Source organism: Homo sapiens, chromosome 14, assembly GCF_000001405.40.
Source record: "Homo sapiens chromosome 14, GRCh38.p14 Primary Assembly".
Lineage (NCBI taxonomy): Eukaryota > Metazoa > Chordata > Mammalia > Primates > Hominidae > Homo > Homo sapiens.
Window position 1 is genome coordinate 90,384,576 of NC_000014.9, and position 23,884 is coordinate 90,408,459.

Genomic DNA, 23,884 nt, shown 5'->3' on the forward strand with positions numbered 1-23,884 from the left:
TCTGTGACTTTGGCACAAGGTGGCTTGGATGTCTGATCTTTGTGATTGAACTATATTCACATCCTGTTTCTAAGATTGTGTTACTAATGGTTTTTCCTGAGGTTTTACAACCAGTAGTGGTGTCTGCGCTGTAGTCAAGTGAAGGTTCTTTGATCTAAGGCTATACTTGTCAGTTGCTGTTTATTGCTTCTTAAACTTTTACTCAAAGTCTTCTTCAAAAAGGAGAAAAGCTGTGGTTTTCTTTCTGTAGGCGGTTAGTAGTCATTCCCAAAGATGTTTGCCAAGTGAGCAAATATATTGGAACTTCCAAATGAGCATTTCACTGTAAAAATACCTGCCCCAAAAACAATACGACATGTTTCTTTTGCAATTTATATGGTATAGGAAACATGTTCTGTGACTTCTTTGTAGCAAGCCAGATCCTGATGTGAAAAAAGAGATCTAACTGTGCCAATAACAAATTGAGAATTCTTGAGTAAGTTCCTTTCCTGTGTTCTTGGGACCTCAGTTTTCTTTTTGTTTGTTTGTTTGAGACGGAGATTCGCTCTGTCGCCAGGCTGGAGTGCAGTGGCGCGATCTCGGCTCACTCCACCTCCACCTCCCAGGTTCAAGCGATTCTCCTGCCTCAGCCTCCCAAGTACCTGGGATTACAGGCATGTTTCACCATGTTGGTCAGGCTGGTCTTGAACTCCCAACCTCAGGTGATCCGCCCGCCTCAGCCTCCCAAAGTGCTGGAATTACAGGCGTGAGCCACCGCGCCTGACTGGGACCTCAGTTTTCTAGTATGTAGAATTTGAGGATTGGATTAGAGAATTTCCAGATTCCCTTCCAGCTCTAGTATATGATTCCACTGTGGAGAAATTGGACCATAACTTCATTATGTCATTATACTTAGGCTTATCTGTTTCTGTGTATAATGCTTGACATTGTACAAGTTGCTTATATGTTTATTTTTATATTCAGTCTTCCCAATATTTATTATACTTCCAGAGGAAAGGGTCCCAGTTTTACAGAGAAGTTAGGCTTACCAGGAAGCCTGAACTACATTTATCTAAATGTGAATTGGTGTGCCACAAAATATTCCTTGAGGCTTATTACTTCAATCCTAGTACATGTAAAACTTGCTTTTTAGTCGTCAGCAAATGAGCTCACTAAATTGTGAACTCCTTAAGGACAAGGCCTATTCGATTCATCATGATATTGTCTGTGCCTAGTGAATTTCCCTTACATTTCTAGATAAAGATTTACTGAAGGAATGAATGAACAGTAATTAGGACAATAGTAGAAGAATCTGGATTTGAAAGGGTCTTTGAGTCCCAAGAAAATCAATCAAAGGCCGGATGCAGTGGCTTACACCAGTAATCCCAGCACTTTGGGAGGCTAAGGTGGGCAGATCACTTGAGCCCAGGGGTTCGAGACCAGCTTGAGCAATATAGGGAGACCCTGTCTCTACAAAAAATAACAAAAATTAGCCGGGCGTGGTGGTGCGCACTTATGGTCCCAGCTAATTGGGAGCCTAAGGTGGCAGGATCACCAAAGGCCAGGAGTTTGAGGCTGCAGTGAGCTATGATCGCACCACTGCACTCCAGCCTGGGTGACAGAGTAGGACCCTGTCTCAAAAAAGAAATCAACCAATATTTATGGAGTATCTACAATGTAGAAGGTTCGGTTTCTTTTTTCAACACAATTTTTTTTTCCTCTGGTTGAGTTGTCTCCATTTTTTATTTTTAAATTAAAGAAATATCATTATGGAACACTAATGATCTTAAATATCAGGGCTTATCTCCAAGCTCTCCTTTGTATGTATTCTGTTACATTCTTTGAAGAATACAAGGATTTAGAAGAAAATGACTTTTAAAAAACCTATCTGACTCACTCAAACAAAATTGCTCACTTTCCTGATCTATTGTTGCTTTTCTGGTCTTTGGAAAGAGATGATGTCTTCTACCCGGCCTTGGATTTTTTTCTTTTTTGTCCTTCCTTTTTTTTTGGTGGGGGCAATTTTTGGAAGTAAATGTCACAATCGATCAGTCAATCTGAGTAGGCATGGTCTAGTCTGTCCTAAGTATTTTATATGAGTACCATTTGACAAAGTCAGAATTCTATAATGATTCTTAACATTTTTTTTTTTTTTTTTGAGATAGTCTCATTCTGTCACTCAGGCTGGAGTGCAGTGGCGTGATCTTGGCTCACTGCAATCTCTGCCTTCCGGGTTCAAGTGATTCTCGTGCCTCAGCCTCTGGAGTAGCTGGGACTACAGGCGTGTGCCACCACACCTAGCTAATTTTTGTATTTTTTGTAGAGATGGAGTTTCACCACGTTGGTCAGGCTGGTCTCGAACTCCTAGCCTCAAGTGATCCACCCGTCTTGGCCTCCCAAAGGGCTGTGATTACAGGCGTGAGCTGCCATGCCAGGCAGATTTTTAACACTTCTAAAAAGTTGTAACTCTTGAGACAAGTCCACTGTGACCTCAGATGTATATACATCCACATCTCTAAGAGTCTCCTGGTTACTAGGGAATTCCGCACAAGTTCCTCACAAAATTCACAAGCAAGAATATTTAGAATCATGAAATTCTAAATCTGGGAAGAACCAGAGAAAGTCCATCTGGTCTAACTTTTACATTTTCCAGATAAGAAAACTAAGTCCCGAGAAGGGACTAGTTAGGGAAAGAGCAGGCTTTTAGACTGCTCTTTCCTTTGACCTTTGAAAACATTTTAATCAAAGAACAATCATAATAAGGGGAGTAGAGGAATGTTATCATTCACAGGGCTTCCAAGTGACTGTGGAAAATCTTGGGAGGCTTTGCTTTGGACTTTGTTATCCATTTAGGGACTGGCTGTTCTGAATTGTTCTCTGTGCTAGGCCTTATCTAAACCGCTTGCCTTAAATCTTTGACCTTCATTTAAATTGCTGACACTTTCCCCTTGTGAAACTGTATCATAATTTCTTCTGTCTTCTTTAGGCTAGCAGCATTTCCCTTTCTTATTCCCAGAAGAGCTCAGAGAAGCTTATTTTTTTAGATGAGTGATGCATAAAAAGGAATGTGGCTGCACAATTCTAATTATTTCATAAAGTTCTGAGGTATTTTTAGGGTGTTGCAAAGTGCTAATAAAAAATAATCATATTCATGGACATACAGAGTGGAATAATAGACACTGGAGACTCCACAAAGTGGGAGGGCAGTGAGGGATGAGAAATTACCTGTTGGGTACATCGTATACTACTCAGGTGACAGTCACACTAAAAGCCCAGACTCCACCACTGTGCAATATATACATGTAACAAAAATGTACCCTTTAAATCTATAAAAAATAAATCCTTTCTAGCCCAGTTTGCTAAGGGTTTTTTTTTTCATGAAGAACATTTATAATAAACTCTTTGTTCTGCATAAAAAAGGAATAATGTTTATGTCTTTATTTCCCATTATGTGACTTTTAGGCTGCTTTCTAAAATTTTGATTTCTTTTCTTCAGGTGGTTAAAACAGTATGATTGGACTTGTTTAGAGCATGGTGCTCTTTCACAGAAAGAGAAACTTGTTCCAAGGCTTCAGCAGTATCCTAACCCCCTAACCCAGCTGGCCGTCTAGCAAATATTCACAGCATACAAGTTTCGAAAGTCAGAATGGCTCGGTGGGAGCCTATGGTGTCACCATACGGAACACAGTTTGAAATGTGTGCTCAAACCACGAAGTATTCCCATATGCAAAGGTTCCCACAGGTCTCAATTGAATCTGTATAAAAAATTAAAAAATAAAAATAAAGTTCCCACAGGTACAAAGCGCAGAATACCTTTTCTCAGTTCTTTCCCCTTCTTTAGGACTTGAAAATCAGAAATGCCTCTAGTAGAATCTCCGTGTCAGCAGACCATTTAAAATATGGCTCATATGTTTTGCTGCTATTCAGTTTTAAGGTCATTTCCTAAGTTTCAAACTTTGTGGGAAACAGGTGCAACTGTGAACCTTCGTGTGGCAGGGAAGAGCTGGAGCAGTGAAACATGAAACTACAAATCAGTTCTCTGAGTCACAAATCTCTTGGGCTGCTGTGGAAGACAGTGATGACTCAGCAGAATTGCATGGGACTGGTGGAGGGTGAGGCGGCTGAGGGCTCAGTGCCCTGAGTACCAACCTGTTGGGGGTGCTGCCAAATGATGGGAGACCGAGTTGGATCTTCCCACTGCTGAGCCCTTCCGCAGACTAAGTCAGACCCCCTGACCTGGGTTCTGAATGGATTTCTGACCCACCCATTGCCATTTAGCACAATGATATTTTAAATATTATACGCAACCACATCGTATATTTCCCTAGGGTTTGTTTATTACACTAATGTTACAGATGAGATAGCTGAGTCTGCCTGGCTAAGTGGCCAACGAATCAGCCATTTAACCTAGCAAATGAGATGCAGCAATATGGTCCTCTTCTTGGGAAAAAGCTATTTGCTTTGTCAAAACAATGAAAATAACAAAGCCTTGAGTAACCCTTCATCAAAATAAGACAAATTTTCTGTCTATGCTTTTTGGTTTATGAGAATGAGAATGAGAAGGAAGGTGACACACTGATACTCAGTTGTACAACTTGAAAACACTCCTGAAGGTACATCTTTTCAGTGGCCAAATGATTCAATCATCCCGTTGTGATGCCTGGAGTTGGTTTATTAGCCAATGACTCAGAGCCTCAACTTAGAATGAATAAAACTCAATAAGCATCTTCACTAGATTCAGATGGAGGTGGTTTTTCTGTTCAAAGACAACTTCCCTTTGACCATATTTTCTCCATTATAGGAAGCAGAGGATGGATCCAGTTATGTGAAAGTCTGAAGAAAATTGCCAAAGGATGGGTCAGCCAAGGTATACGCTTGCTCGTGACTGTAGAAGGATACAGGTTGGGATCAAAGCAGGGATAGTTCAGGATGTTCCTCAGGAGGTGTGGCCTCCCACCTTGCTTTCAGAATTAAAGCAAAGGACTTTCTTTTCCTTTTGTATTTTGAGAAATTCACTTTTAATATCCTCTTCAGTCCTGAGAGTGAATTGAGCTCAACACTAATCAATTAAATAGTTGACTGGTGTTTAATGAGTCAAATGCTATGCTGAGTTCAAAAAGTATATCTTGGCTTCTACTACTATCTGGTTGATGTTAGATATATGAAACGATAATATCAGGTAGAAAAGGACAAGAGGGGTAGGAATTCAGCGGAGAGGAAGTTCATTTGGAGTTGTGATAATCAGGAAAGTTTGAAACATGTTGCATTTAAACTGGGCATGAAGGACCCGTAGGATTTAGATAGGTGGTGAGGATATGGATAGGCATTTGGACACTAGGAATGGCATGGAAAAGGCAATGAGTTGAGAGGAGACAATGTATATTCAGGGGACAGAGACGATACTGATTTGTCTGAAGCAAAGAATGTATAGAATAACAAAGGATGGTAATGCTGAAAAAGTAGATTGGCAAACTGTTGAAAGGCATTGGGAGGCATTGAGGGTTTTTGAGCATGGGAGTGACATGATGAAACTGCTGGCAGCTGTGCATTGGATGGATCAGAAGGGGACAAGCTCATTGGGATAGACAAAGATCATGGATGTGCTATTAGAAATTTTGGGATCCTCAACATTCCTGATCCAGGCAAACACAGATACTTCCTTTTTTAAAATTTCTAGAATGGAGCTATCTGATGTAACTTATTGGAATGATGGAAATGTTCCATGCTGCCCAATATGGTAACCACTAGCCATATGGGCCTATTGAGCACTTGAAATGTGGCTATAAAGACTGAGGAACTCAATTTTAAATTTTAATTAAGTTTGATTTAAATAGCCACATGTGATTAGTGACTACTGGATTGGGCAGCACAGCTCTAGAAGGCAGGACAGAGGCTATTTATTGATTGAAAACCAAACCACACAGTTGCCAAATTAGATCTTAAGTCTGTTGGAATTGGTGGGGCCAATTCTTTAATATAACCCACAATCAGCATCAATTTACCTGATTTATCATTATGGTCTGGTTTTCCGTGTATCAAGACCTCAGCAACAGTACCCATTTGTGCCAATCACTGGTTCTGCTCTACAGGCAAACTGAGTCACCCCAAAACCCTGCCATTTCAGTTTATCGCTGTGGCCACATATCCCTCAACTGAATAGCTGTTAAATCATTTGTAAACTGCTAAATGTCTGTTGCTGCGTGGATAAGCTTTAGACCTGTTCTATGGTTTGACCTGCATTCTAGCACATATGTTGAAATATGAAGTTGCTGGTTATCGTTTGGATGCTAATTGAAGTTACTATTGCCCTTGCTTTCGGATTAATGAGGAAAATGATAGTTTAAGAATTTCCAGGCCTGGCTGGACACAGTGGCTCATGCCTGTAATCCTAGCAATTTGGGAGGCCGAGGCGGGTGGATCGCTTGAGCCCAGGAGTTAGAGACCAGTTTGGGCAACATAGCGAGACCCCATCTCTAAAAATAGTAATAATAATAATAAATTAATTAATTAAATTTAAAAAAAGAATCTCCAGGCCAGGCGTGGTGGCTCACTCCTGTAATCCCAGCACTTTGGGAGTCCAAGGCAAGAAGATTATTTGAGCCCGGGAGTTTGAGATTACAGTCAGCTATGATCATGCCATTGTACTCCAGCCTGGGGGACAGAGCGAGACCCTATCTCAGAAAACAAAAAAAGAAAGAAAAAACCCAGCTTGAAGTTAGTGTAAACAACTAAAGCACAAAACTATGATCTTATCCCACTGGACATTTTACTATCTGAATTCACTCACAGTACTTGGTCCCTAAGTCTGTGTAACCATTGCTGGCTGCCTTTGACTTAAGGGCTCAGTTGGTTAAAGCCCAAAGCTGAGGCTCAAGTCATGGGTCCAGTCTCATTAATGGCCAGTTATTTTGCTCTGTTCTTATTCTATATCCCGGACCCCACTTTCTGTGTTGCATATTTATGACGTTGGTCACGAGGGTGGCTTGACCAGAGAGGGAACAGAGGAAGGCAAATCCATCACCACAGCTACTAGCAAAACAAGCACAAATCCTGTGAATGGAGGATAAGATATGTTTTCTCCTATAAAAAGCAAAGTGTTTCAAAATAAAAAAAAAAAACAAGAATGAGGCACTCAAAGCTAGTGAATGGTGCTGTTTGGAAATACTGCACTTCAGACTACTGAGTATACTGGTGACCATCACAAGCTGGAACATACAACAGGACAGTTAGTCTGGCTATGAGTCATTTGAAATCATGGGACACTAGCCGGGTGCGGTGGCTCACGCCTGTAATCCCAGCACTTTGGGAGGCGGAGGCAGGCGGATCACGAGGTCAGGAGATTGAGACCATCCTGGCTAACACGGTGAAACCCCATCTCTACTGAAAATACAAAAAAATTAGCCAGGCATGGTGGCGGGTGCCTGTTGTCCCAGCTACTCAGGAGGCTGAGGCAGGAGAATGGCGTGAACCCGGCAGGCGGAGCTTGCAGTGAGGCCAAGATCGTGCCACTGTGCTCCAGCCTGGGCTACACAGCAAGACTCCGTCTCCAAAAAAAAAAAAAAAAAATCATGGGACACTAAACAGACGCCTTATATGCTAAAATGGATAATATTTTTCTCATGGTAAGTTGTCATGGCCTAACACTTGCTTATTATGTTCTGATGGTAACATATTTTCAAATTTAAATGTAATGTAAGAATGTTCCCTCTGCTCATTACCTATATGAGTCATTCATAAACATTATAACAACAAAAAAGATAATCACAAAATTTTAAATGGAAAAATAATGGAGTATTTTATTTATTGATAGAGATAACAAAACTTTTTGTAATAATCCTGAATAGAATTTAATGAAATGTAAATCCAAACACAAACAGCAAGAATCTGTTCTGGCAATTGGAGATGATTAGTGAAGCGGAGAATCCTGAATGGTGGATATTCATCTAAGTACTATTGGACCACGGGGTGGAGAAGGAGGGAGTCGAGGATGGTGAAGAGGTATTACTGACTCTCAAACCAACCAACCAACCAACCATATGTGTCTCTACCTCTCTCTCACACACACAATTGGATGTTTGACAGTGAGCAAGCCTCTTGACCTCTCTAGACCTCAGAGGCAAAATGAGAAGTGTCCTCCAGCTAGAAAGCATCACAAATTAAATGTTTTGCTTTAGGTTTTCTTCCCCAAACACTCCATATTCCTTATGTAAAAATAGAGCCATTACTACATTCCTATGATCGTATTTTAAATTATTGGGTAAGAAGTATCTCTTTATAAACCAAATTTTCATCTTAATCTTTGCCACTTCTGCCTCCTACCCCAAATTAAAATAAAAATAAATTCTACTACATTGCAGGAGATAGTTATAATGTAATGCTTAAGTGCTTGGGCTCTCAGCTAGATTTTTGGGTTCCACTTAAATTAGGCAAGTCACTGACTCGTTCAGTGCCTCAGTTCCTTTGTAAGAATAATGATACCTGTTTCACAGGATGGGTAGGAGGATGAAATAATACATTTAGCACAAGGCCTGGCCATAGTCAATGCTGAGTAATTATTTTTTATTTTTATTTTTTGAGACAGAGTCTTGTACTGTTGCCCAGGCTGGAGTGCAGTGGTGCGATCTCTGCTGACTGCAACATCTGCCTCCCAGGTTCAAGCGATTCTCCTGCCTTAGTCTTCTGAATAGCTGGGATTACAGGTGCCTGCCACCACGCCCAGCTTATTTTTTGTATTTTTAGTAGAGACAGGGTTTCACTATGTTGGCCAGGCTGGTCTTGAACTCCTGACCTCATGATCCACATGCCTCAGCCTCCCAAGGTGCTGGGATTACAGGTGTCAGCCACCATGCCGAGCAAGTAATTGTTATTTTTAAACTATTTCCATTTCTCCATTTGCATTCTCCATTTCTCCATCTTCAATATATGTATATGTGTGTATACATATATATGACAGAGGTTATATATGTATATGTTATAATCATATAACCTCAGACACAGGGTTTCACAGCTAGAAGGAATTTCTACATCAAGTACAAAACTCTTGTTACATCTGTGTCCTTTCTGTCAGATTCAGAGGGTTAGAGTGATTTGGTTAGTGACGGAAATGATACTTAAACATGAGATTCCTGGCTTGAGGCTGCATCGTTTTTACTTTTCTTCCATTTACTTTTATCTTATTTAAATAACTTCCTATAGAACAATTTCCTTTAAATATGAAATGTTCCATAGGTTTTTGGTTCTCAGTAAATTATGATATTACAATAATGCGGTTTATTCTCCTGATTGCTGATCTCTTCATAAATTAGGACGTGTATTCACTTAAAGCAGTCTATTTGATAATGAAAACCCAGTGATTTCTAAATAGGCAGTCAGAAGAATCTGCTTTATGAAACAGACAAACCCCTAACATTGGGCCTTTAAAATGTTCGGATATCAAGACCACGAATATATTATCTAAATTAGAGCCCCTGAGCAAGGACTCAAGCTCTATTTTATGCCCCATCCCTGACTCACAGTAAGATCCTGGGCAAGTCACTTGACCTTCTTATATTTCAGAGTGTCAAACTGTGAAAAGCATGTCCATAAAACTGTGCAAGCATGACCTCATTATAAACCCGATGAACTTGAAAGCAAAGATGTGCTTTGATACATTAAAGAATTACCAAAATAGAACTCTAGTTTGTAAAATATGAAGAATCAGGAAAATAAATTTTACTATACTAAGTAAAAGGATTCTGAAATGTACAGTTTTTAGCAAGTAAAGTCATAAAAAGTTTCAAAATGTTATATTTAGGTGAAATAAGGTTAATGACAGAGGAAAAATATTATTTTAGAGAATGCTTGGCTTTCAAAACCATAGATTGTAGCAACTTAACCAAAATAATCACAAGGAATGGAAGACTATCAGAAACGAGTAGATCCTTAATAATTAAACACATTTCTAGGCCATTATTTCCCCCTACTTATACAATGCATATCATGTTTTAAAATGTATTTCACTGGCTGGGAGCGGTGGCTCACACCTGTAATCCCAGCACTTTGGGAGGCCGAGGCAGGTGGATCACTTGAAGTCAGGAGTTCGAGACCAGCCTGGCCAACATGGTGAAACCCCATCTCTACTAAAAATACAAAAATTAGCCAGGCGTGGTGGCAGGCACCTGTACCTGTAATCCCAGCTACTCAGGGGGCTGAGGCAGGAGAATCGCTTGAACCCACAAGGCGAAGGTTGCAGTGAGCTGAGATTGCACCACTGCACTCCAGCCTGGGCAACAGAGTGAGGCTCTGTCTCAAAAAAAAAAGAAAAAATGTATTTCACTAACTACTATATGAAAAGCCCCAGAGAAAGAATACCAATACCCTTAGGAAAGAAGCAGTTTTAGTATTATTATTATTATTGGATGGAGTCTCGCTCTGTCACCAGGCTGGAATGCGATGGCGCTATCTTGGCTCACTGCAACCTCCGATGCCCTGGTTCAAGGGATTCTCCTGCCTCAGCCTACTGAAAGTAGCTGAGATTACAGGCACGCGCCACCACACCCAGCTAATTTTTGTATTTTTAGTAGAGACAAGGTTTCACTATGTTGGCCAGGATGGTCTCGATCTCCTGACCTTGTGATCCGCCTGCTTCGGCCTCCCCAAGTGCTGGGATTACAGGTGTGAGCCACCGCGCCCGGCCAAGATGCAGTTTTAATAAGGAGTTTGGCCATTTAGGCTTGTAACTGACTGGATTATTGCATATTCTTTAAAATTAATTTGTATTAGTCCCTTTTCTTCTATTTCCTTATCTCCAACTCTCGCATTAGTATGCACGCTTTATTCCTACTCAGGTTTTCCCCTATGAGCCCAGGAGTATTATTATTATTTTTTTGCAGGGATTAGGATCAGGTTTGTGAAGTGAATAGTGTCTTTCTAATCTGCAGAGGGAAGGCAGCATCCCCTGGCTTGCTGCTGCAGCCTCTCTTTAAATTAAACAGCAGGTTCACTCTTTCTGCGGCATTCCAGAAGGAACATCAGTAGGAACAGCTCCACAGATGCTGACGTCTTGTCTAAGGTTATCCCAAGAAGTCCTGTGGCATTTGCAATGTGCCTGTACATTTTTCCTTTTTTAAAAAACATATTCCTGCAGACTTTGTTGAAAGCAGAAACAAACACAAGCAAGCAAAGCCCTTTCTAGCACAGCATGTTAATCACACACTTTGCCATATTCTGTGAAACAGTAAGCAAATGATAACCTCCAACTGTTGCCCGGGCCCTGTAAAACAGAAGATCAAATTCTGTGTTCTGCCTTGGCAAGAAAAGAAACTGCAGCATTTTGTCTAGATTTTTACAAGTCCTGGGGTTCACATTACTGGCTGAAATTGTTCTTTCTCTACTTTACAGAAAAATGGAAAACACTAGTAAACTTAAAGATTTAAATATTATTTTAAAAGGAATATAATAAAAAATGGAAAACACTAGTATATTTAAAGATTTAAATAGTCTTTTAAAAGGAATATAATCAAAACTGTAGTTTAAAATACAATCTAGCTCCATAAGAGAGGCAATTGGCTGTGTGTTCCACTTGTAATGCAGAGGATTTGAAGCATCTATTTTTTCCCTTGTTTCTATGGATTTATGAATAAAGACTCTGACCCTTCTCAGGATCAGGAAAATTACGAAAAATTTAAAGCCTGGGTTTAAGGTCTGTAGAAGCTGCACAGGTACACTAATTTTAGTAAGACGGGCGCCAGGAAAAAGAACAAAATAGTAGGGGAGAAATATTCAGGCATCCTAAAAAATATTCAGTGGAAACGTAAAAACATTAAAGACTGATTAAACATCGCAGCATGACACAGATTTAGCAACTGAGCATAAATAATTTGACTCGGATACTGCTCCAAAATCCGAAGAGGACCAATTTCTTCCAGGAGGACAACTACCTCGTCCTCTGCAGACCCCTCTCCTCGGCAGCTGAAGGAGTGTGGCCAATCTGCCTCCACCTCCCCGCGGACCCCCTACTCTCAGGACCTCCTGCAGCACCCCAAACTGGAAGTGGCCGCTGCAGACCCAAGGACGAGGGGCACGCGGGAGCCGGCAGCCCTAGTGGAGCGGTTGGAGATGTTGAGGTGGGAGGGTCACCCAGGTGGGGTGAGGCTGGGGTAGGTAGCGGAGTGAACGGCTTCCGAAGCTCTGGGCCGCCCCCAGGTTGGACTAAGCAGGCGCTCTGTCTTCGCCCCCGCCCAGGGTGGGCGTCTCCTGAGGACTCCCCGCCACACCTGACCCGAGACCGCGCGCCCAGCCTAGAACGCTTCCCCGACCCAGCGTAGGGCCGCCGCGACTGGCGCGCAGGGGGCGGCGGGAGGCCTGGCGAACCCGGGGGCGGGACCAGGCGGGCAAGGCCCGGCTGCCGCAGCGCCGCTCTGCGCGAGGCGGCTCCGCCGCGGCGGAGGGATACGGCGCACCATATATATATCGCGGGGCGCAGACTCGCGCTCCGGCAGTGGTGCTGGGAGTGTCGTGGACGCCGTGCCGTTACTCGTAGTCAGGCGGCGGCGCAGGCGGCGGCGGCGGCATAGCGCACAGCGCGCCTTAGCAGCAGCAGCAGCAGCAGCGGCATCGGAGGTACCCCCGCCGTCGCAGCCCCCGCGCTGGTGCAGCCACCCTCGCTCCCTCTGCTCTTCCTCCCTTCGCTCGCACCATGGTAGGTCGGGAGTGGCAAATGCCGGCGTAGCAGCTGCCCGAGATTTCTTCCCAGATTTCTAGTTGTTTTGTTTGTTTTTTGTTTGTTTTTGGTTCTTGGAGGTTTTTCTTTTCTGAGTGTTACGCAGCAGCTGCGCTTAAAGGAGGTTGCATTTTGGATTTGCATCTCGGCGACCTCTGCCAGGGAGCTTCATTTATTGGTTCCCCTTGGAGCTGGACTTGGTCGTAGGCCGTCCACGGGCAGGGGCTCCGGCCGCAACTGCAGCGGGGGTTTCTGCATCCAATCCCCCTGCCCCCCGCCCAGCCCCGCACCCACTGCATCCACTAGCGCCGCACCCGGGCTGCCTGCAGCGCAGCGTTTCGGCCTGGGAGCCGGGCGGGGCCGGGCACTAGACCCCCCCCCCCGGCCCGCCCCTCCCCACCCCGCTTCTCCGCCGGCGCGAAGGTGGCAGGTCGGGCGGGCAGTGGAGAATGAATGGGCTGGAGCTGGCCGGTGGCGCACATTGTTCCGGCCGGGTGTTGAGGGGCGCAGTCAGCGCCCGCCACCTCCCCACTTTGGCCGGCCCTGCTGGGCGCCCTCCCTCGGTCGCTCTCCCCTCCTTCTTCCCGGGGGGCGCGGCGCGGGCGTGGGCTGGGAAGGAAGGAGCCGGGGAAGGGTGGGGTTGGGGGCAGGAAGGCGAGGGGTTGGGGGCGGAGAGGGCGGAAGCGGCGGCCGGGCCGCCCTGCGCCCGGGCGGGGCCCTGCGGTGTGGCCGTGGCTTGTTCCTGCCGCTTTCGCACCCTGCGGCCCCCCACCCAGTGCAGCAGTGCGGGCGGGCGTGAGCCTCGGTGCACCAGGAGGCACTTCCCGCGGGAGGCGCTGGGCTCGCGCTAATTGGGGCGGGGGGGGGGGGCGGCGGGGGAGGAGGGAACTGGCGCGCGGCTTGGTTTCCATTAGAGACGCAAAGTTTCTGCTCCGGGAGGAGGCGGCGGCGCCGCGGGCTCGTCGCCTGGGGGAGCAGAAGCGGGTGGGAGGTGCGGGTGGCCTTGGCCTCAGCCCTGGTGCGCGGGGGCCGGGGGTGGTGACCCTCCTGGCCGAGGAGGGGCGGCGTCCAGACGCCCGCTCGGGGGCCGCCTTCCCCCCCACGCCTGCCCCCGGGCACGCGCCCTGCCCGGTCCCTCGCCCCGCGCCACTTCCAGTCCGCAGAGAGATGCCCTCCACGTTTCTGCTTTCTCTGCAGCCTCTAGATTGCCAGATGCGACTGTGCGCCTCGCTGGGTGTGTTTTCCACAGCCCCTTCCTCCTCGGCGTGCAGGGCTGACATCACCGACTGCGTTTCTGGTTTGGCGGGTGGGGAGATGGTTCCCCGCAGGGTTCTGGTACACCTTTGCCCCCAGGGCTAGCGCCATTTGGGGGAGGAGGTTTTCGTTGTCGAGAAAGTTGGATGCTCCTGGTAACCCCTCTAACAAGAGAGTTCTGTAGCGAGGTGGGACTGTTCTCCCCATAAGGTGACAGTTTCTCTTGCGAGGTGTGGCAGCGCTTCCTGTTGTACAAGACAGATGTTGCCTTGGCGTTACGTAAATCATCGTGTCTCCGTCATTTAAAGAAAGCCAATTTTTAGTGATTGAGGTAGAAAGAAAGATCCGTTTATAATTTGTAAAAACAAATTTTCACCCAGAATCAATATATTGGAACACCATTCCTACTGTTAAAGTTTTCACTTAAGAGTATAAACTTCATCAGCTTTCTATTAGGACTTATTTTGTAATTGGCTTCTTAGGCATCCTTCTTTAAAAGAGAAATCCACGTTAGCTCTCCTTGAGGTCTCGAGTTCCCTCGGCTGGAGGCACAGGTTCAGTGGAGACCAAATAATGCAGGTGAATTACCTTCGTGGCCATTACTGCCTCCAACGAAGTGTGTTTATTAAGAACAGTTCTTATGTCATTCTTAAGGTAGGTAGGGTTAATACTCTCCAGCAAATTTAGTAGATACTCTTTGCCAGAAAAGAGAGGAGTATATATAGTTTGATAATTATTGTGTAGTTTTCTGTGTACTTAATTTTTGCAGTTTTGTAACACTTCATTTGTAAGATGGTACCATTTTTTCCTGGCTTCTGAATCATAGGATAGTTTGACCCAGGGCATTAGCCATTGTAATGGTAGGCTTTTAACAAATAACTGCCTAATTTAAAGGATTGGAAAGCATTTGTTACATGGAAATGAAGTTGGTGGCGTACCCAGTTGCTGTATCTTTATTTTTTCTACTTAATTATTTCTCATAAAATGGATATAAAAGCCTGTTAATCCAACCCAATGCCATTATGTAACGCCAGTTTGGAGATTTCGAGGGCCTGGAGCAGTGCGCAAGGTGCGCTGAAAGCCTGCCCCTGGATGAGATCCTTATCCTGGCTGTGATGGCAGTGGCAGTGGGCTGGGTCCCTTGTTGAGTGGAAAGGGGGACTGCGGTGTCCATGGTGCAGTAGGTGGCGCTCTTCTGTCTTAGAGCCTGCCGCCACTGCAGCTGGTGCCAAGGGGCCTTCTGCCACTAGAGGTGCCATTTTTCACATGATGAACTTAGCCTAGTTAGATCGCAGAGCAAGCTGTAAGCCATGGGCCCAGAAAAGAAAACTTGAAGTGAGCAGATGTTGTCACTTCCTTGTAATCCTTTGTTAAAATAGCATAAGGAGTTTTCTTTATTCTATTTACTTTCATTAAATGACCGTGCTACAGGTTTCAAAGGATTTTAAGATTGATTTTTGAAAGATCACAATATTAAAAGTATAACTGGAAAACCTATGTTGAAATCAACCAAACATGTCGTGGACTGAATGATAACCTTTTCTTTCTTCATATAGGCTGATCAGCTGACCGAAGAACAGATTGCTGGTAAGTTGACAACTCCAAGGAGTCCCCAGAAGGCCAGAACTAGGCACTGACTCAGTTTTGGTGACTCCTCTGTTCCTCCCCGCTACAGTCTGGGCAGTTTTCTAAGAATTTATTTAAATAAGAACAGTAAGCAGAAACACTGAGGTCAGATGTTATTCTTGCCAGTACTTTATAGATGAGGTGAAAGGAAGTAAAACTAAGGATGCCCACATGTTAAACTCTGGAGAATTTGACCATGTTTCACAATGTGCAAAGTTTGCGTATGATTAATTGTACTGAGCCTGCTACTCAGCGGTTTAGTTTACAATTCTTATGCCATGGGTCTTTCAGTAATCTGCCACGAAAGCTTGTGCTCGCTATCCTAAAATAAATGGAAATGGGTGAATATGAGTGTTAGGACCACTGTAGTAATTGGGAAGAAAGTTACATTAGTTAAACTCTGTTGCCCAGGCTGGTCTCTAACTCCTGGGCTCAAGCAATCCTCCTGCCTCAGCCTCCTGAGTAGCTGGGACTACAGGCATGTGCCACCACGTCTGGCAGATTTTAGCTTTTTAATATTCCTGGAGGACTTGTTTTGAGACTGTTTCTCGTTAGGAAACCAGGAATGCTTCTGAAATATTCTAAAAGTCATGTGGAGAGAGTTTACCTGGGAATGTACATTTCTAGTAACCATTTTATTTGTTATGAAACAAGGGATTCTTATGGCTTTAGAAATGTAACAGGAAGGGATTTGAAGGGGGCACATGGACCAATCTTGTCAGATTGGATTTAGTCCCTTGAACCTGGGAGGCAGGGGTTGTAGTGAGCTGAGATTGCACCACTGCACTCCAATCTCGGTGACAGAGCGAGACTCCATTGTTTAAAAAAAAAAAAAAAGATTGGATTTAGGACTAATTTAAGCATGTTCCAGCTTAGCCGCCTTGAAACCTTTGGGAATATTGTGGTGTGTGGCACTGTTTATTGGGAGCAGTGTTTGCTTTATGGGCTGCTGTATGAAGGCCAGTCCAACAGGACTATTGTGGTCATTATTTCAGTAGATAAAGACCAGACTTCTGATACGTTGCACAACTTGAATGGCTGGCTTTGGCAAGCCCCCGGCAAGTGTGTATTGTGACTGGGTTGGATAAAGACATTGATTCTAACGGGTCAACTTTTGTTTTCAGAATTCAAGGAAGCCTTCTCCCTATTTGATAAAGATGGCGATGGCACCATCACAACAAAGGAACTTGGAACTGTCATGAGGTCACTGGGTCAGAACCCAACAGAAGCTGAATTGCAGGATATGATCAATGAAGTGGATGCTGATGGTAAGAGCTTTAAAACCATGAATGAGGGCCATTGTTGTGTAATTCAAGTTCAGACATGTTACAGGATTGTCTTTCAGGTCCCCAGAGCAAAGCAAATGTGCAAAGATCCTTTCTGTGGTTGCCCCAGGGCCATTGACAATTAAAATAGAAGATGATGGGCCTTGCGTCCATCCTGCTTAGTGTCTAGAATGTTTTCTGCATGGGATCACTATTGTTTTCTTCCTGCTTGGTGCGACCTAGAGCTCAAATCTATTTTTTTTTTTTTTTTTGGAGACGGAGTCTCGCCCTGTCGCCCAGGCTGGAGTGGCACTGGCGCGATCTCGGCTCACTGCAACCTCTGCCTCTTGGGTTCCAGCGATTCTCCTGCGTCAGCCTTCTGAGTAGCTGGAATTACAGGCGTGTGTCGCCACGCCCAGTTAGTGTTTTGTATCTTTAGTAGAGATGGGGTTTCACCATGTTGGCCAGGCTGGTCTCAAACTCCTGACCTCGTGATCCGCCCTCCCCGGCCTCCCAAAGTGCTGGGATTACAGGCGTGAACCACTGCTCCTGGCCGAGCTCAAAGCTTTTATCAACTGGCCCATGAGTCTGCACTGAGTCTTGAGGGGGGAGGTGAAATTAAATAGCCATAGAAAGTGCTTTTTAACAAACTTACTGTGTTTAAAGAGGAGGAGGAACCCCCAGATGAAGTAGGTGACGAGCACTCTTAGAAGTTACCATAAAAGTGAGTACAGTGTGAGCTGTAGATGTGTTTGCTGCAGAGGAGCATGTGAGGTTTGGAGGCGGATGTGTGGTGACTCCAGGGGATAGATTTGCAGAACCTAACGGAAAGGGAAGCTGTAAGGTGCAGGGCCAGAGGGAACCAGCAGTAACCCTGATAGCGGTCTGTCATCTGTTCCTCTCGACTCTACAGCAGCGGACAACAGAACTTTGATTGCTGATTTCCATCAGTAAGCAGGCTTTGAAGCACACTTCCCCACCCCTAAAAAAAAACCACGTATTTTGGTAAATCCTATATATATTCTAATGTACTGTATGACAGTATAGAACATGATTTTTAAAAGATGAGTTGGGAGGAGAAAAGGATAAAAGAAAAAATAAAAGAAGCATTAAGAATAAACAATTCGGATCTAGATTTTACTTTCTAGATGATTGACTCGAGGGTGGTGTAGTAAAATCGCTTGTCTGGTCACAAACATTTGGCAGCAGAGCTTTTGATTAGGTTCTTTGACAAAGCCTTCAGCACGTTAGAGTGGTTTTCACTAATAGTGTTTTGGAAAGAAAAGGTTGTCCATAGTTCTCTAGTTTGCTAAGATGATCAGCTACCCAGGAACGTGGAGTAACTTCCTCTTGTTTGTGGGAGCCCCGGGAATCTGTGCCTGGGGAGGGGAGAAGTCTGTTAGGCTCTTGGATTGTGTGGAAGAAGGAGAAGTTGTGCCAGGCTACAGAATCCTGTGTTTGCACTGAGAAAACAGGATGGTACCTGACCTTCTCTGCATGGCTGTGAGATAGCTTAAAATAATTTCTTTTGTTTTTGATGAATATGAACAATATCTTAAAATTTTTGAGGCTAAAAAAGTCTTGAAGGGATCCCTGAGGTATTTTCTTTGAAAGGTACTGGTGAAAATGAGTAACTTAACCTAAGGGTTTTTCTTTCTAATTTTATTTCCATTTAGTTCAATGACACTGTTAGTCTGGAGTGCTTGTCTTTGGGGGTATTCATCTCTTAGTTTTAAAGAGGAGTTGTTTGGAGTACTGGCCGTAGAACAGATTGTTCTGACAGTTCCCTAAGTGTTACTAGTCTGAGCTGTGAGAATGCTCCTGAGCTTTTCCCTTAATGGGAAATAAAGATACTGAGTTGGAAGAAAACAGGTGGCTAACCATCATAGCGTGGCCAAGAAATGATCCTGGAGAAGACTTGGTAAGACTTCATGGCCCATGCATGGCATAACAGAATCAATGTTCCTCTCTCATAATCTTTTCTCCTCTGAAACACTTTATACACTTAACCTGCAGCTCAGTTCTAGGCCTTTTTTGTGTTACTGCTGTCACTAACCAAGGCAGAGTGAGACCTGAGTGATTTCCCTAACTCAGGGATGGCAGTCGGGGGCGCTTTCTTCCCTCGGAGTGGAAAGATTCAGCCTGCGGAGTGGTGTATGCTATTTTTCTCTTGAACTGTACAGCCCTTCATGACCCTTCCATGGGCTTGAATCCAGATGTGCAGTTTCCTTTGTATAATTAAATACTATCCTGGGCACTGATGATGAGTTTGAAATTATGTGAAATTGCCCTGTGAAGTGTTTGAACGTTTTAGACCTGCAGATGATTGAACCTAGTAAGATAGTCTGCCCCTTTGTCCTAGTACATGTTTACCGTTCCGTACAGTGGTTCTGAAATGATTACTGCAGAGCAGCGTTAATGGAGTGCTTACTTTACATGAGCTTTTTGTTTTTTAATTCGAGGTAATGGCACCATTGACTTCCCCGAATTTTTGACTATGATGGCTAGAAAAATGAAAGATACAGATAGTGAAGAAGAAATCCGTGAGGCATTCCGAGTCTTTGACAAGGTAATCCAGCATCTACATAGCAGATGGTACTTAAGTATGGCTTCTTCCGCTTTCACTTCTAAAAGCTATAATAATGTTATAGACAGAAGACTTAAATCTAACTGCCTGAGCCTCTGATCTCACTTTCAAAAATCCTCCTTATGGTAACCGTATCAGGGGAGGGTAGGCATAATAAATAGGAATTTTGGACCATGTTTCTTGACTGTTACTTTGAATTGTTGTGAGCTTTTGCAAATCCTGTTTTCTGCATTAGCTGTTTGCATGTATTTAGTAGGTTAGAGGTGGGAACTAGAGATCAGAGAATTGTTTATGGCAGCAGAGTTAGCAGTAACTTGAGAGGGCATAGCTAAGTCAAAGACCTACTTCCCCACACTACATCATTAGCAATAACAATTGCTGAATGTTCACAGGATGGCAATGGTTATATCAGTGCAGCAGAACTACGTCACGTCATGACAAACTTAGGAGAAAAACTAACAGATGAAGAAGTAGATGAAATGATCAGAGAAGCAGATATTGATGGAGACGGACAAGTCAACTATGAAGGTAAAACTAAATTCTCTGAGCTCAGTGTTTCATAGTCTTACCTTTAGATCTGTAAGCAAGCCAACTGCTTCACTAGACAGCCTTTGACTTTATTTTATGTACAGTAAAGATGTTGTGTTCATTAAAGCTGTTTTCAAAGATAACCAAAAGTTACTATTATATTTGTCTTTTCAGAATTCGTACAGATGATGACTGCAAAATGAAGACCTACTTTCAACTCCTTTTTCCCCCCTCTAGAAGAATCAAATTGAATCTTTTACTTACCTCTTGCAAAAAAAAGAAAAAAGAAAAAAGTTCATTTATTCATTCTGTTTCTATATAGCAAAACTGAATGTCAAAAGTACCTTCTGTCCACACACACAAAATCTGCATGTATTGGTTGGTGGTCCTGTCCCCTAAAGATCAAGCTACACATCAGTTTTACAATATAAATACTTGTACTACCTTAATGATAAGGACTCCTTAAAGTTCCATTTGCTAATGATTAATACACTGTTTGGGCTGGCCAGTTTTTCATGCATGCAGCTTGACGATTGAGCACAGTCAGGCCTTTGTATTAAAAATGAAAAATGAAAAAACAAATTCAAAACCTATTCAAATGGGTTCTAGTTCAATTTGTTTAGTATAAATTGTCATAGCTGGTTTACTGAAAACAAACACATTTAAAATTGGTTTACCTCAGGATGACGTGCAGAAAAATGGGTGAAGGATAAACCGTTGAGACGTGGCCCCACTGGTAGGATGGTCCTCTTGTACTTCGTGTGCTCCGACCCATGGTGACGATGACACACCCTGGTGGCATGCCCGTGTATGTTGGTTTAGCGTTGTCTGCATTGTTCTAGAGTGAAACAGGTGTCAGGCTGTCACTGTTCACACAAATTTTTAATAAGAAACATTTACCAAGGGAGCATCTTTGGACTCTCTGTTTTTAAAACCTTCTGAACCATGACTTGGAGCCGGCAGAGTAGGCTGTGGCTGTGGACTTCAGCACAACCATCAACATTGCTGTTCAAAGAAATTACAGTTTACGTCCATTCCAAGTTGTAAATGCTAGTCTTTTTTTTTTTTTTTCCAATAAAAAGACCATTAACTTAAAGTGGTGTTAAATGCTTTGTAAAGCTGAGATCTAAATGGGGACAAGGCAGGTGGAGGGGAGGCCAGTGTACATGTAAATGCCCACAGCCCAGCATTGGGTTTCCCTCCCAAGGCCCCAGCACCAACCTCTGAGCCCAAGACCTTGCCTGAAAACAAGCAGATACCGATTGCTTCATCCTATTTATGGACATGTAGGTCTAGTTGCATTTTCACTGGGGGGAGGGGGGAAGGTGAATTATGGTAACTTTTAATGATCTATTCAGGCAGTAGAGCTCTTAAGGAAAAAAAAAAACCCACTTTCTCTCAAGCATGTATTTAGGGGTTGTTCTCAATTGTGCTGCTGATTACCTGTCTTATGTAACTACTTGAGACCATCTGCAAGAGACATGATTTAGTGTGTCTGTAATTCAATCTTCGCTGTGTGTGGTAGAAGCAGTAGTCACTTTTGTAAGCCAGTCTCTTCATGCCTAAAAGACACTACCAGTCACCTTTGATTCGCGACTTTTAATTTATGATTATACTTAGCCTCCTCCTCCTTTTTTTTTTTTTCCCAAGTTGACTTGACTTTGCTTTTTTCCCCCCAAGTAGAACTAATGCTAGCTTCCAGCTTGAAAGTAAAACTCCAGTGTGGAGTGAATTTTGTGTCTAATTATAAACCTGTAACCAAAACTCAGACATCTGGTACTGGTCTTTGCATTGAGATTGGTCCCTGTAAAACCCCCTTTAAAAGCATATTGCATTTAGTACAGAGCTCTTTTTTGAAATGAAGGCTGGAGATGTGCATTTTTCACGGTGTTAACTGGTTGTATCTTATTAGCAAGGAGATTGGGGTTTTGAGTGTTTGCGTGGGTGGTTTCAATTTGCCAGGGAACAGTGGCAGGCTGCTAGCAAGGCAGTGAGAAGCTCTTGGCAGCCAAATGGGTGCATTCAGGGCTGATTTATAGAGACCCTTGGCTTCTCCTTCTCCTACTCCCTGTCTTTCTGGCATTTTGTAGCTTGTTAGATTTTCTGCCAGAGGGGTGGGTCAGAGCAGTGGAGGGGAGACATCGCCCATGTGCTTCTGCTACTGGTCCTTGGGCTGGGTGGTTGGTAGAGGAGATGTTGACACTATGAGCTAAGGGTTGGCTTTTGTAATTACCTGAATCTGAAAGGAATGCCTAAGGTTACCTTGGGGTTTCTCTTCTGGTGAGATAGGGTTCCTGGTTTGAGTAAGTTAATGTCCTGGATATTTCTTGTGGCAGGGGGTGGTCAAAGAGCCTGATTGCTGACCCAGTCTCAGGCCTGTGGTCGATGACCTCTCGGTAGTTTCAAAGGGGGCTGGAGGGGGATATTTGACTTGTTTTTTCGAAATGTAGCCTTCTAACCCTCAAGTCTTTAGAAGCTGGGTGGACTCTTAGTGGTCCTGCAGCGTATCCTAAAAGACTACCTTTGAAACAGGATTCTTGTATGGCCAGGATCCTGTCTGGGAACCAGAAACCCTACACCCTCCCCCTCCAGGGAATGCTGAGTTCCAGTTTTGAGCAGAGGTGAGGCAGAATCCACTGTAGCCTTCCGCCCTGGTATTTGGGGGGATGACCAGCCCAGGCGTTGGGTGTTAGTCTGCATGAGTTTGTGAGAGGAAATAGCTGGGTGTCCTGGCAGTGCCCTTGAAGTTGGTTAGGACCTTCCTGTAAACTCTTGCCCCTACTTCTAACTACTCTATAAATATATACATATATTTATATATAAAGTGATTAGTTGAACTGGCATCCTGCTTTAGCCTGAGACTTGCCATAAGAAACTGCTGAGTACTTGGCAAACCCTTTCATAGTTTTGTTCTCCATCTGTTTGGGGTAGGTGTTGAGCGAGGCAAATGGATCTCGATATTTCAGATGGGCTTTTGATGCACTGTTGCCAAGGAAGGCTTTTTCTGATTTTTTGACAAATGAATTTTTGCACACTTTCATTGGTGTCTTTCGGCAACTTACACACATTGAAAATGAGCTATTGTACATATTTTTATATTCTCTTTATAAATGCATGTCTGATTGTACTTGTAACAATATTGTAATGAACGGCTGTGCAGTAGGCCCAGCGCTGCTGTGTCTCGTCAGAGGAATAGCTTACCACGAACCCCTCAGCATACTGGGAATCTCTTCCTGAACAACGAATGTAAATTTGGTCAAGTCTACTCTTCCGTTCATTCAATTATTTTAAGCATTTGAATTATTTATTGTATATCCTAAATATATTTCTCCTTTGGCAGTGACTAGATTTCCACTAATGTGTCTTAATCTATCCCTCCAGCTGGCAGTTACTGTTTTTTTAATCCCCTGAAGTTGTCCTGTAGGAGACAGAAATTCTTTGCTGTCTGTATCCCTTGGAGTAAGAAGGTAGTGGCATGGGTGGAGTGTGTGTTCTTTCTCCAAATCTATTATGATGTTTATTAAACACTTCTGTAGCAAAGATGGTGGTAGTTCTTTTGTTACTGAAGTTGCCCTTCACCATGGCTATTTGAAAAGGAGATGTACTTGGACGTTTCTGTAAATCTTGAGATAAACTGTTTGGAGATTTAACCACCTCTCTGATGGGGGACCAACTCTATGGAAATTGTAAATACGTTTTATTTATAAACCTGGCACTGTATTCAATAAACATTTCTGCAGCCTTTCATCTCTAACTGCGAACTGTGTAGGTTTCTAGCTTGCATAGCTTTCAATTCCTTTTGCTCTCAACAAGATAGACCTGCCCTCAGATGTAATTTCACTGGGTCTCTAGTACTGTGAGAGTGAGGGGCCAGAAATAACCGTAGACACATCCCACAACCGTCTTACCCTAGTTTTAAGTAGTTTGAGTGTTAATAGCTGACAT

General features: G+C 43.7%; 1 protein-coding gene across 3 annotated transcripts, besides 9 other annotated features; it reads left to right on the top strand.

The window, feature by feature from the left end:
* Window positions 11,927-23,693, top strand: CALM1 (calmodulin 1). 3 transcript variants are annotated; one of them, NM_001363669.2, is made up of 6 exons: window positions 11,927-12,083; window positions 15,490-15,520; window positions 16,684-16,827; window positions 19,287-19,393; window positions 19,804-19,939; window positions 20,114-23,693. In NM_001363669.2, the coding sequence occupies exons 3-6, from the start codon at window positions 16,758-16,760 to the stop codon at window positions 20,140-20,142; spliced, it is 342 nt and encodes a 113-aa protein (NP_001350598.1). In that variant the 5' UTR covers window positions 11,927-12,083; window positions 15,490-15,520; window positions 16,684-16,757; the 3' UTR covers window positions 20,143-23,693. The 3 variants fall into 3 exon arrangements, with proteins under 3 accessions (NP_001350598.1, NP_008819.1, NP_001350599.1); NM_006888.6 differs by lacking the exon at window positions 11,927-12,083 and adding an exon at window positions 12,454-12,658; NM_001363670.2 differs by lacking the exon at window positions 11,927-12,083 and adding an exon at window positions 13,592-14,512.
* Window positions 12,146-12,565: a silencer, noted in NCBI's record as "silent region_6007". NCBI's record gives its function as "represses an Ori minimal core promoter by ATAC-STARR-seq in GM12878 lymphoblastoid cells {active_cell/tissue: GM12878}" and the evidence as "EXISTENCE:reporter gene assay evidence [ECO:0000049][PMID:35858748]".
* Window positions 12,250-12,544: an enhancer, noted in NCBI's record as "tiled region #5900; HepG2 Activating DNase unmatched - State 1:Tss, and K562 Activating DNase unmatched - State 1:Tss". NCBI's record gives its function as "activates a minimal TATA promoter and a strong SV40 promoter by Sharpr-MPRA in HepG2 and K562 cells {active_cell/tissue: HepG2 | K562}" and the evidence as "EXISTENCE:reporter gene assay evidence [ECO:0000049][PMID:27701403]".
* Window positions 12,666-12,715: an enhancer, noted in NCBI's record as "active region_8880". NCBI's record gives its function as "activates an Ori minimal core promoter by ATAC-STARR-seq in GM12878 lymphoblastoid cells {active_cell/tissue: GM12878}" and the evidence as "EXISTENCE:reporter gene assay evidence [ECO:0000049][PMID:35858748]".
* Window positions 12,846-13,005: a silencer, noted in NCBI's record as "silent region_6008". NCBI's record gives its function as "represses an Ori minimal core promoter by ATAC-STARR-seq in GM12878 lymphoblastoid cells {active_cell/tissue: GM12878}" and the evidence as "EXISTENCE:reporter gene assay evidence [ECO:0000049][PMID:35858748]".
* Window positions 13,016-13,565: a silencer, noted in NCBI's record as "silent region_6009". NCBI's record gives its function as "represses an Ori minimal core promoter by ATAC-STARR-seq in GM12878 lymphoblastoid cells {active_cell/tissue: GM12878}" and the evidence as "EXISTENCE:reporter gene assay evidence [ECO:0000049][PMID:35858748]".
* Window positions 13,646-13,715: a silencer, noted in NCBI's record as "silent region_6010". NCBI's record gives its function as "represses an Ori minimal core promoter by ATAC-STARR-seq in GM12878 lymphoblastoid cells {active_cell/tissue: GM12878}" and the evidence as "EXISTENCE:reporter gene assay evidence [ECO:0000049][PMID:35858748]".
* Window positions 13,756-13,825: a silencer, noted in NCBI's record as "silent region_6011". NCBI's record gives its function as "represses an Ori minimal core promoter by ATAC-STARR-seq in GM12878 lymphoblastoid cells {active_cell/tissue: GM12878}" and the evidence as "EXISTENCE:reporter gene assay evidence [ECO:0000049][PMID:35858748]".
* Window positions 13,886-14,185: an enhancer, noted in NCBI's record as "active region_8881". NCBI's record gives its function as "activates an Ori minimal core promoter by ATAC-STARR-seq in GM12878 lymphoblastoid cells {active_cell/tissue: GM12878}" and the evidence as "EXISTENCE:reporter gene assay evidence [ECO:0000049][PMID:35858748]".
* Window positions 19,866-21,065: an enhancer, noted in NCBI's record as "CDK7 strongly-dependent group 2 enhancer chr14:90870785-90871984 (GRCh37/hg19 assembly coordinates)". NCBI's record gives its function as "activates an origin of replication core promoter dependent on BRD2, BRD4, P300/CBP, MED14 and CDK7 cofactors, with strong dependence on CDK7, by STARR-seq in HCT116 cells {active_cell/tissue: HCT116}" and the evidence as "EXISTENCE:reporter gene assay evidence [ECO:0000049][PMID:35650434]".